This window comes from Homo sapiens, chromosome X (assembly GCF_000001405.40).
Source record: "Homo sapiens chromosome X, GRCh38.p14 Primary Assembly".
NCBI lineage: Eukaryota > Metazoa > Chordata > Mammalia > Primates > Hominidae > Homo > Homo sapiens.
Genome location: NC_000023.11, coordinates 46,537,492 through 46,548,730, shown reverse-complemented (window position 1 = coordinate 46,548,730; position 11,239 = coordinate 46,537,492). Strand labels below are relative to the sequence as shown.

At 44.8% G+C, this 11,239-nt stretch overlaps 1 protein-coding gene and 1 long non-coding RNA gene across 5 annotated transcripts in view, besides 2 other annotated features; one reads left to right on the top strand and one right to left on the bottom strand.

The window, feature by feature from the left end:
- Positions 256-3,241, bottom strand: ZNF674-AS1 (ZNF674 antisense RNA 1). Its single transcript, NR_015378.3, has 2 exons — positions 3,104-3,241; positions 256-2,265 (listed from the first exon to the last, which is right to left on the bottom strand). It is a non-coding gene; the product is annotated as a ZNF674 antisense RNA 1 (long non-coding RNA).
- Positions 2,737-3,936: an enhancer, noted in NCBI's record as "BRD4-independent group 4 enhancer chrX:46404230-46405429 (GRCh37/hg19 assembly coordinates)". NCBI's record gives its function as "activates an origin of replication core promoter dependent on BRD2, P300/CBP, MED14 and CDK7 cofactors, and independent of BRD4, by STARR-seq in HCT116 cells {active_cell/tissue: HCT116}" and the evidence as "EXISTENCE:reporter gene assay evidence [ECO:0000049][PMID:35650434]".
- Positions 2,972-3,121: an enhancer, noted in NCBI's record as "active region_29570". NCBI's record gives its function as "activates an Ori minimal core promoter by ATAC-STARR-seq in GM12878 lymphoblastoid cells {active_cell/tissue: GM12878}" and the evidence as "EXISTENCE:reporter gene assay evidence [ECO:0000049][PMID:35858748]".
- The window catches only part of ZNF674 (zinc finger protein 674), a 47,697-nt gene continuing 39,767 nt past the window's right edge, over positions 3,310-11,239 (top strand). For all 4 annotated transcript variants that reach the window (NM_001146291.2, NM_001190417.2, XM_011543943.4 and 1 more), the window contains exons 1-3: positions 3,310-3,360; positions 4,120-4,230; positions 6,615-6,658. In NM_001146291.2, coding sequence (NP_001139763.1) covers positions 6,644-6,658 — 15 coding nt within the window. In that variant the 5' untranslated portion in view covers positions 3,310-3,360; positions 4,120-4,230; positions 6,615-6,643. The remainder of the gene's footprint in view (positions 3,361-4,119; positions 4,231-6,614; positions 6,659-11,239) is intronic.

Here is an 11,239-nt window from a genome sequence, read left to right as displayed (position 1 = left end):
TGGCCTCCCAAAGTGCAAGGATTACAGACGTGAGCCACCACGTCTGACCTAAAAGGTAAAAACATTCTACGATGAACAAGTTCTGCAGATCTAAGGTACAGTATGGATGGTGATGGATGTATTAGTTGATTGTGGTAACCATTATACAACGCATACACATATCACATTTTAAAAACCCACTGTTTTAGGTATAAAAAAGAAAGACATGTATTTTTAAAAAATGAAAGAAAAACACCGAGAAAAGATGAGGCAAGCATAACAAACCTAGTGGTTTTCATTTGAAGGCAGTGGTTTTTAAACAAAAGTATTTTCACAAAAGGAATGAGAACATCTCAGTATTATATATTTGATACAATTCCCAAATAAATTGTCACAATAAAACAAGGTTGCTTATGCAGAACCCTTGAAATACAATGTATGTAAAAATATTTTTACTACTGTGCTCAAGAATAGAGATTTTGAGGACAATTCTTACATATTTAAGAAGCAAAAACTTTAGTTAATACTCAGACTTTATTCAACATCAGAAAATATGCAATGAAGAGAAAATCTACAATTTAAATCAGCTTGCAGATACATTTACTTCTGGATCACAACTTACTCAGCATTAGAAAATTCACACTGGCTGGGCGTGGTGACTCACCCTGTAATCCTAACACTTTGGAAGTCTGAGGGCAGGAAGAGGCCTTGAGTCCAGGAATTCCAGACCAGCGTGGGCAACATAGCGAGACACTATCTCTACAAAAAATTTAAAAAATTAGCCAGGTGTGGTGGCGCACACTTGTCCCAGCTACTCAGGAGGCTAAGGTGGCAGGGTCCTTTGAGACCAGGGTCCTTTGAGCCGAGGCTATAGTATGCCATGATCACGCCTCTAAATAGACACTGCATTCCAAACTAGGCAACATAATGGCATCCTGTCTCTAAAATAAATAAATAAATAAGAAAATATTTGGCTGGGTGCAGTGGCTCACACCTGTAACCCCAGCACTTTGGAAGGCTGAGGCAGGCGGATCACCTGAGGTCAGGAGTTCGAGACCAGCCTGGCCAACATATAGTGAAACCCCGACTCTACTAAAAATACAAAAAAATTAGCTGGGCATGGTGGCGTGTGCCTGTAATCCCAGCCACTCGGGAGGCTGAGGCAGGAGAATTACCTGAACCCACGAGATGGAGGTTGCAGTGAGCCAAGATCACGCCGCTGCACTCTAGCCTGGGCAACAAGAGCCAATAACTCCATCTCAAAAAAAAAAAAAATTGGCTACATGCAGTGTTTTTATCACATTAACCGGTATTATGGTGAAGTTACCTTTTGAAAAGTCATCTGGCGAAAACAACTGTTAACATCAGATGACAGTGACTTTGACAAAGCATTATACTACTAGGGTAAAAATGACTGAAGAGATTGGCGCAAAATGAGGAAAGGGGCTTCGTTTCTGAGAATACCAGCTCCACTCAACACTGGATACTCTCCTGCCTATGGAAATCCACAGGGGCAGTTGCAGAGAGTGCTGCATGTTTCATAGTGTTGGGATAGGACAATGAAAACTAACATTTACCAGGTGCCTGCCACGGGCTATTCCTGGGCTTGAGGCTCTAAAGATGTCCCTTTGAACAATAACAACAGCCATCTAGGTTAGGTGGTCCTTAGCTATGGCAGAAAAGAGGGGACTGAGGCCCAAGAAGCTAGTAAGTGGTGGATTCCAGTCTTTTCTTCCAATGGATTAGTAGACACCAATGGCCCAGGAAGGGTGTTTCTTGATTTTTGAATACTAACATCATGAATAGCAAATGCTGGCATGGCAATAAGGGCATGCCCTGCATCTGGTCACATTCAAATCATCAGTCCCTTCTCTTTCTGCATAAACACTTGATCTTACAGAATCAGGATATGGAGAGATGCTGGCCAGGGCCACAGATCAGGTGCTTCTGCAGTTTGCAATTTCTTTACTCTCCTCAGGACATATTAACCCTATCATACTATTAACCCTTTTCTGCCTACTGATAGTGATATCTGAAAAGGTTATCAAATCACCTCTCCTCTAGAAATAAATAGGTTGGTATCTCTAAACCTGGCCATCAGTAACACATACACATGAAATTCTGAATGAGCAGTAATTCACTGCTCACATGTCCAAGGGAAAACAGGCTCTTTTCCTGGGACTTGTACAGGAGGCTTGGAGAGAGTCACTTCCCAGGGTCTGGCTGTATTGAGTTTGCAGATTTAGGTTGTAACTCATCCAAACTATCTGGGGAATGCAAGTTAACCTGAGAGGAGAAAGAGAAAGAGGAAAAACACTCATGTTCAAATGGAAATTAAATACGTGTCTGATAGATTACACAAATGTCTTGGACACATCTATGAACAGTGTCTGGCACCAGCTGGCTCTAGCACAGAAGGGTTTGCTGTGTACCTGAGGGAGACTCTGTCATACTTGACCCAAAGAGGCCCGCTTGGTGACCAGGCAGGCATAGTAAGCATGGAGAACAACACTTGTTCTCTTTCTCCCAGACCCAGACAGGAAACAGAAAACTTTCCTCAAGTTTACTACAGGCCTTTTTAGCGGGCCATGTTGCCACTGGCTGGCATTCTCAGAGAAAACACCTCTCCGCTAAAAAGTAAAATCCAGATTCTCCCAGGGTGTCTAAGATCCTAGGAACCGGAGCCCCACCACTGGGTAGAGAACAATCAGAATGAGGCTTTCTTCCCTCACTTCGGGAGGTTGCTGGCTCTGAAGCCCGGCTCCAAAGCCCCTCTTCCAGGCCACTTCCCCGACTGAGCCAGACCTGTTGCTCTTAGGACGCTCTGAGCCAGGCCTAGGGCCCCGCTCCATGTGGCCTGCCTGGACCCTAGAGGGCCGCGCTCTGGAGCTGCCACAGATGCCAGAGGCGCGACTCTTTTTCCTATTCCTAGGAGCGGAAGACAGAAACAGTGGCCTTGGGGACAGAGGGGTGGGAACACCCCACGTCCACTGCAAGAGAACGAAGTGGAAGAAGGGATTTCGGCTTCGGAGCCGGCAGGGGCCTGGGCACTGGAAAGCCCGCGCGGAGTTCTCTCGCCTCTCGCCGCCCAGGTACGCCTCCCCGGACCTTTTGTACGACTTACCGTTGGAAATGGTCACACATTCCTTCTCCCCTTAGAGCGAACACTGTCATAACCACTGAAGCGCGGGCCGAGGAGCGCCACATCGGCCACAGGCTTTGTTGCCCCGCCTTCAAAGCCACTGCGCGTGCGCATTGCTTTGACTTCACGTTCCCAGGGGGCTGTGGGAAGCGGAAATGCTCGGCTGACCCGGAGGGTGGCGCTTCGTTCACACTGGCTGTTGTCATCCGCCCCTGAGGTTTCAGGCTGTCGGCAGTGAAGTAAGCGGGAGGGTGAGGTGGTGATGGTTTTGATCGGGGGAAGGGGGGACGGGAGGAATGACGGGAGTTTACGGGGCCGTGGGGTCATGGGGCCACGGGTGAGCGTCCTTGTGGGGATTGAGTGACACAGGCGGTGGGCGTGAGTGTTGGGGGCGAGGTTCGGGGCCAGCGAGTGACTAATTGATTGAGTCACTCAGCGCTTGTATCCTCACCCGGTGGTAACTGCCAGACACTCTTGCAAATGTTTCACATTAGCAGGAGCCCTGTGAGGTGTTACGATGATTATTTTCATGTTATAGAGAGAAAACGGTACAGTGTGGCTTGGCAACCTGTCCAAAGTCCCGTAGGTAGCAAACCCGAGGAATCCTTTTTCTTTTTCTTTTCCTGTACTTTGTTTATCATGTTTATTGTTTCCAGTGTGTCTCTTCCTCCAGACTAGAAATCTGGAGCTGGGAATTTGAGATTTTGTTCACTGATGGATTTGCAACACGGAGAACCGGCTCATGGAAGGCAATCATTTCTTCAGTGAATAAAAGTGGCACAGCAGCCAGTCAGTTGATTCCAAAGCCCGGACTCAGGAAGGCAGGGTTTCGCTCACTGAGGATAATTGAGCTGTGCATGAATGTTAACTCTTAAAACTAGAATGAGGGGTTGTCCCTCTTCTGTTGGGTAAAAACCTTTGGGTTTCACTCAACTTCACTGCATGGAAGGGAGCATAGGTGTTGCTAATTGAATCTCCTGTGGTCATTGTGTTTCCAGGGTCAGAGTGCAGACCTGAGACCACTGCTCACCGATTTCAGACTCCAGTTTATCTGTGCCTCGGCTTCCCCACTTAGTCGCAGAAGACTTAGGCTGAGGCCCCAGGAAGAGGTGAGTTCCCTGGGTCACAGGCAGAGATCTAGTGCTATAGTGATGGCCCCAACTGGGGTGTGTTTGTCTCTGAATCCCTTGGTCCTGCCGCCTTGGACACAAGAGAGGTACGCTGAGCTGAGGCGAGTTGGAGGAGAAGCCTCAGCAAGAGCCCAGACCCAGATCCTCAGAGCAAAGGAGGCTCACGGGACAGCAGGTCCTAGAAGAGCTGGACCCGTAGTGGCCTTTGTCCCTCACTTCAGCTGAGACAGAGCAAAGCTGGCTCTACTTCCAGGTGCCATGGAGGACCATGTGACAGTGCAGTTTGATTCCTGCTGGAGGAGGGACAGGTGAAAGTCACAGGTGGATGGAGGCATGGATGTCCCCCATGGGGGCAGGTGCCCTGCTGTAGTACCTGCAAAGGCGGGATGAGGCTGGGAAGGATCACAGCCAGCCACAGAGGATTGGCCTCTCCTAGCACACCTATTTGTGCACCCCCATGCTTCCTTCTCTTGCCATTGGCTATTTCTGAATTTGAGTCAGCCCCACACCATCAACCAGGCACCTGCTTCCAGGGGAAATGCTGAGTGTCCGTTCATCCTGACCAAAGTGCAGAAAATATATTTTTAGTTTATAGAATTTCAGAGTAGTCTCTAGGTATGCTGTCATCCAGCTCTGCTGCCTTATTTCAATGCTTAATGAAAGTGGGCCAGGGGACATGACCTGCTAAGCTACACGGAGCTGAACCCTGTTGTCCTGATGGTATCACAGTGATTGCTGCAGTATGAAATGGTTACTCTGCACAGAATCTCCTTGCTGGAACTTTCTTTTGAAAATCTGCCAAAGAAGGAGGAGCATGGCAATCAAAATGCAAATCATGGGAAAGGAGGAAGTGGTGGGGTGGGAGCAGGGTAGGTGGCCAGTTAGAGAGGTGGATGCAGGGAAGCAGGCACAGTGGTTTTCAGCCCCTCACAGAACTGACAGTGCTTGGCTGTTACCCACCCAGCCCCACACCTCTCCTTCCCTGCGGCCCTTTGAGCCCTGGTTGGGCTCCTTCCTCCAAACCACATGAAGAGATCTTACTCATACACACTTGGAGAGTGTCTTTTCACCTCTAGGGCTCTGTTTGATAAGAAGTGATTTTTTAATAAATTTTAATTTTTGTTTCATTAGTAATTAATATTCCTTGTCAAAAATGCAAATAAACAAGAAAATTAAAATCACCGAACAATGTAACCAATGTCAGCATTTGAATAAATGCTGTTTGAGGTCAGGCGCGGTGGCTCATGCCTGTAATCCCAGCACTTTGGGAGGCTGAGGCGGATGGATCACCTGAGGTCAGGAGTTTGAGGCCAGCCTGACCAACATGATGAAACCCCGTCTCTACTAAAAATACAAAAATAATTAGCTGGGCATGTTGGTGCATGCCTATAATTCCAGCTACTTGGGATGCTGAGGCAGGAGAATCGCTTGAACCCGGGAGGTGGAGGTTGCAGTGAGCTGAGATCATGCCACTGCACTCCAGCCTGGGCAACAAGAGCAAAACTGCATCTCAAAAAAAAACAAAAAAAAGAATAAATGCTGTTTGAGACTTCATATTTGTACATATTGCTTAACAAAAATGAGATTACACTGCAGTTGCTTTGTTGGAACCTCCCTTTAAACACCCAGGAACTGAAAACAAAGTTCAGAAACCATCTTTAAAGCCTGTGTAGTATGCTTGTTTTGCACGTGTCATATTTTTTTACTAAGTCCCCTTTGCTGCACATTTAGTTGCTTCGAAGATTTTTTTATTTTTTTGTTTATTTTTGAGCCAGGCTCTGACGTTGTCACACAGGCTGGAGTGCAGGGACGTGATCATGGCTCACTAACCTCGCACTCCTGGGCTCAAGAGACCCTCCCATCTCAGCCTTTTGAGTAGCTGGGACTACAGGCATGCACCACCACGCCAGCTAATTTTTTTAATTTTCGGTTTTGTAGAGACAAGGCCTTGCTATATTGTCTAGGCTGGTCTTGAACTCCTGGCCTCAATCAATCCTCCTTCAGCGCCCCCCGCATGCAGGGATTATAGGCAGATTTTTCATAGTGGAAATGACAATGGTGAACATTTTGCATCTTTGTGCTAGGAATAGAACTCTTGAGATAAAGGAGATGTTAAGTTGTTACTGGTTTCTGACATGTAGATGGCTTTGGACACAAGTCATACATCTGTCCAGTAAGGGAGACAAAGTTTCATGTGCAAAACCCACATGATCTTAGTAGCGTCCCATGGAATAGGCTGAAGCTACCAGGCCTTATTTTTAGATGATTCTTCCCAGGGTGCAAAGGTAATTATTATTAGGGTGGTGATGATGATCTTATGTCTATACCCACTGAACTCAACCCTTCTAATTCTGTATTTGTAGATCTCCATCCTTTGCAGGAGCACAACAAGATGGCCATGTCCCAGGTGAGTTCTAATGTACCCCTACTTTTTTTCCAGTGAAATTGAGGCAAAGTTTGGAATCTATATAATAAACTTGAAAATACCAATTATCCCCTCTTCTCTGGCTGTTTTCTGTTCAACTTGTCCTCAGCCTCTGGTTTCTCTAATCCTTCCCCTCACCAGGAGAGAGGAAAAACAAAAAGATACCTCTCTCTACTTGTTCTTCCAGAAACTGTACCTCATCTTTTCTTCTTCTTCTCAGAGAAGAATTGTTTAAATACATAGATTCACCTTGCTTTTTCCTCTTTCTTCACTTCTAGATCGCTTGGTCTTTTTTACTGTGTTTAAGAGAATAAGTTTGTGTATAATGTTTTAATGTACATAGAAGAAACTAGTAGCCAATAAAGTTTCTATTTCTTCTCCCCCCAGTACCACGTTCCTCCTTAGAGATGTCCACTGTTAACAGTTGGGTGAAACTGTGGGGTAGATGCATTTATGTCAGTTTAATGAACTAAAAACGTACACGTATATATTTTTTTTATGCTTTTACACAAATGGCATCATATTCCCATACCCATCTTGCTTTCTGAACCTGATTATATCCTGGGTGGTGTTCCTTGTCAATATATAAAGATTGTTTTAATTCCTATTTCATAGTATGGATGTATCATGTAACTATTTTTCTATTCACAGATATTTAGGTTTTTAATTTCTTTTTCTTTTTTTTTTTTTTTTGTGACGGAGTTTCACTCTTGTTGCCCAGGCTAGAGTGCAATGGTGCGATATCGGCTCACTGCAACCTCCGCCTTCCAGGTTCAAGCGATTTTCCTGCCTCAGCCAACCGAGTACCTGGGATTACAGGCATGTGCCACCATGCCCAGCCAATTTTGTATTTTTACTAGAGATGAGGTTTCTCCATGTTGGTCAGGCTGGTCTCGAACTCCCGACCTCAGGTGATCTGTCCACCTCAGCCTCCCAAAGTGCTGGGATTACAGGTGTGAGCCACCGTGCCTGGCCTTTTTTTTTTTTTTTTAAATGGAGTTTTGCTCTTGTCGCCCAGGCTGCGGTGCAGTGGCGTGATCTCGGCTCACTGCAACCTCTGCCTCCCAGGTTCAAGCGATTCTCCTATCTCAGCCTTCCAAGTAGCTGGGATTACGTGCACGTGCCACCACACCCGGCTAATATTTGTATTTTTAGTAGAGACGGGGCTTTACCATGTTGGCCAGGCTGGTCTCGAACTCCTGACCTCAGGTGATCTACCCACCTCGTCCTCCCAAAGTGCTGGGATTACAGGCATGAGCCACTGCACCTGGCCTAATTTTTTTTTACTATTGTATACAGTACCTCATGAACAATTTTCTCTGTATCTACTTGCTCTGTAGTACCAGTGTTTATGGAGGTTATACCTGGAAGTCGGGTTTTGACTAAAAGGTAGTGAGACTTAAATTTGCCCTCCGAAATCCTTCATAATTACTCCTTTCACTAAATGTAAAGACTAGATAATTTCTGCGTTCCATTTTTCCAGGCTATTAAAGATGAAAAGGTACCCAGTTCATTTTGTGAAGCCACTTAACCTGAAATTTGAAGAGGATACTACAAAAAAGAAAATTATAGACCAGTTTCCCTTAAGAACATGGATGTCAAAATGTAAAAGTATTCTGAATAGAGCATTAAAAAATTGAACATTTAAAAGTAATGCATACACATAGTAAAAATTCAAATGAAAGTTTTGTTCAAGAAAAGGCAAAAAATAATTCTCCCATCCTCAAGATTCCTTCATTTTTTGGTACAGTCTTTCAGAGAATATGTATGCTTATCTGTCTGGATGTATGAATCTTTCTTTTTTTTTTTTTGAGACAGAGTCTCGCTCTGTCGCCCAGGCTGGAGTGCAGTGGCAAAATCTCGGCTCACTGCGAGCTCCGCCTCCTGGGTTCCCGCCATTCTCCTGCCTCAGCCTCCCGAGTAGCTGGGACTACAGGCGCCTGCAACCACGCCCGGCTAATTTTTTGTATTTTTAGTAGAGACGGGGTTTCACCATGTTATCCAGGATGGTCTCGATCTCCTGACCTCGTGATCCGCCCTCCTCGGCCTCCCAGAGTGCTGGGATTACAGGCGTGAGCCCCCGCACCCGGCCAGGATGTATGAATCTCTTTGTCTGCTCACTCCTGTGTGTGCTAGTTCTCACTCTGACACGCTTTTTCTCTAACAAATTAGAGCTCATTCTGGTCCTTCTGGTCTTGTCTTCATGATCATTCCACTTTACTTGTATTTAGTTGTCCCTAGGGTTTCTTACTGCGGCACTATTGTCATTATGGTTCTGATCATTATTTGTTGTGGCTGCTTTCTTGTGCATTGTATGTGTAGCAGGGTCCCTGGCCTCTATCTCTACTAGGTGCCAGTAGAATCCCTCCCCAAGTTTTGGCAACCAAAGTATCTGTAGTCATTGCCAAATATCCCCTAGGGGAGAGAATTATCCAATGTTTAAAACCAGTGGTCTACCTTGTTTGCAAAAGCAACTGCTTGGTATTTCATTGCATGGGAACACCAATATTCATTTACCTTTCTCCTAGTGATGAACATTTAGGACATTTCTAGTCTTTTGCTGCTATAAACAGCATAGCAATGTACAGTACATTCCGTTGCCTGCATGTGAGTATGTCAGATGTGAGATTTCTAGGTCAGATTCATGTGCATCATGAATTTTGATTCAGAACTGTCAATTTGCCCTCCAAATAGAATATACTGATGTGTACTCCTAGCGGCAGTATATGCCTTTTCACGTAAGTGGGCAATCACAGTGCATTATCCAATGCTTTGATTTTTGCCATGATGCAGCATATAAGAATGGTGCATTTTAATTCACATTTCCTGAAATTAGTGTCTTTTCATATTTTTTGTTTGTTTGTTTTTTGGAGACAGGGTCTCAGTCTGTCACCCAGGCTACAGTATGGTGGCACGATCACAGCTCACTGCAGCTTCGACCTCCTAGGCTCAGGTGATCCTCCTGCCTCAGCCTCCTGAATAGCTGGGACCACAGGCGTGTGCCACCACACCTGGCTAATTTTTGTATTTTTTGTAGAGATAGGATTTTGCCATGTTGCCCAGGCTGGTCTCTAACTCCTGAGCTCAAGTGATCTACCTGTCTTGGTCTCCCAAAGTGCTGGGATTACAGGTGGGAGCCATTGCACTGGGCTATTTGTTTTTTGAGACAGAGTCTTGCTGTGTTGCCCAGGCTGGAGTGCAGTGGTGTGATCATGGCTCACTGCAGCCTCAACCTCCCAGGCTCAAGCAGTCCTTCCACCTCAGCCTCCCAAGTAGCCAGGAATACAGGTACATGCCACCACACCTGGCTAATTTTTCAATTTTTTGTAGAGCTGGAGTCTTACTGTGTTGGCCAGGTTGTTCTCCAATGCCTGAATTCAAGCAATTCTCCTACCCTCGCCTTCCAGTATGGTGAGATTACAGGTGTGAGCCACTGTGCCCAGTCTTCTTTTCATTTTTTTTAACCATCATTTGTACTTCCTTATTTCAATTATTTATTCTAGTCATTTGCCTCCTTTTCTCTTGGGTGTGGAATTAATTTGATTGCTGGATGGTAGCCCTTTATGTTAACTCAAGTAAATAAGATCTCTATCATATATGTTGCAAATATTTTTTCATACTTCATTTGCTTTGACTTGTCTTATTAATTTTGGGGAGTGGACACTTACATTTTGTTAATGTGGTCTAATTTCACAATCTTTTGTGACTTCTAGATTTCTTTTATTGCTTATATAGGATTCTGTGAGTCAAGATTATAAAAATGGTATTTCAGTTATGTGGAAAAAGTGGTTACTGAATGATGGTGGCACAGTTGAGTATCTGTATGGAAACAAAGACTCTTCTATATCATATAAAAGTGAATTCTAGATTGGTTGTAGACCTAAATATATATTTGAAAAATTGGGTAAAAATTTAGGAGGATATATGGATAACTTTATGCAGTGCAAGAAACTTTTTTTTTTTTTTGAGATGGAGTCTCCCTCTGTGGCCCAGGCTGGAGTGCAGTGGCACGATCTCGGCTCACTGCAACCTCCGCCTCCCGGGTTCAAGCAGTTCTCCCACCTCAGCCACCCAGGTAGCTCAGACTACAGGTATGTGCCACCATACCTGGCTAATTTTTGTATTTTTAGTAGAGACGGGGTTTCACCCTGCTGGCCAGGCCGATCTTGAATTCCTGACCTCAACTGAACTGCCTGCCTCAATCTCCCAAAGTGCTGGGATTACAGGCGTGAGCCACCACGCCTGGCCCTGCAAGAAACATTTTTAATGAAGATGGAAAACCCAGAAATCATAAAGGGAAATATTGTCAGATTAGACTGTATTAAAATGTTAAAACCTGTAGAGTCAGAAGACATATTTGAAGCTGAGAGAAAATACCTGCAATGCATATAATACACAGAGGATTTATGTATGTAATATGAACAATGATTAAAAAACAAAAAAATGTGGTAGAAAGGAGTCAAAAAGATAAGGCAGGCAATTTATAAGAAAAAAATATGATGCCATTTGAAAGGATATTTACTTTTTCCAGTTTTCAAGCCAGGAAAACAGGGCCAATTTTCA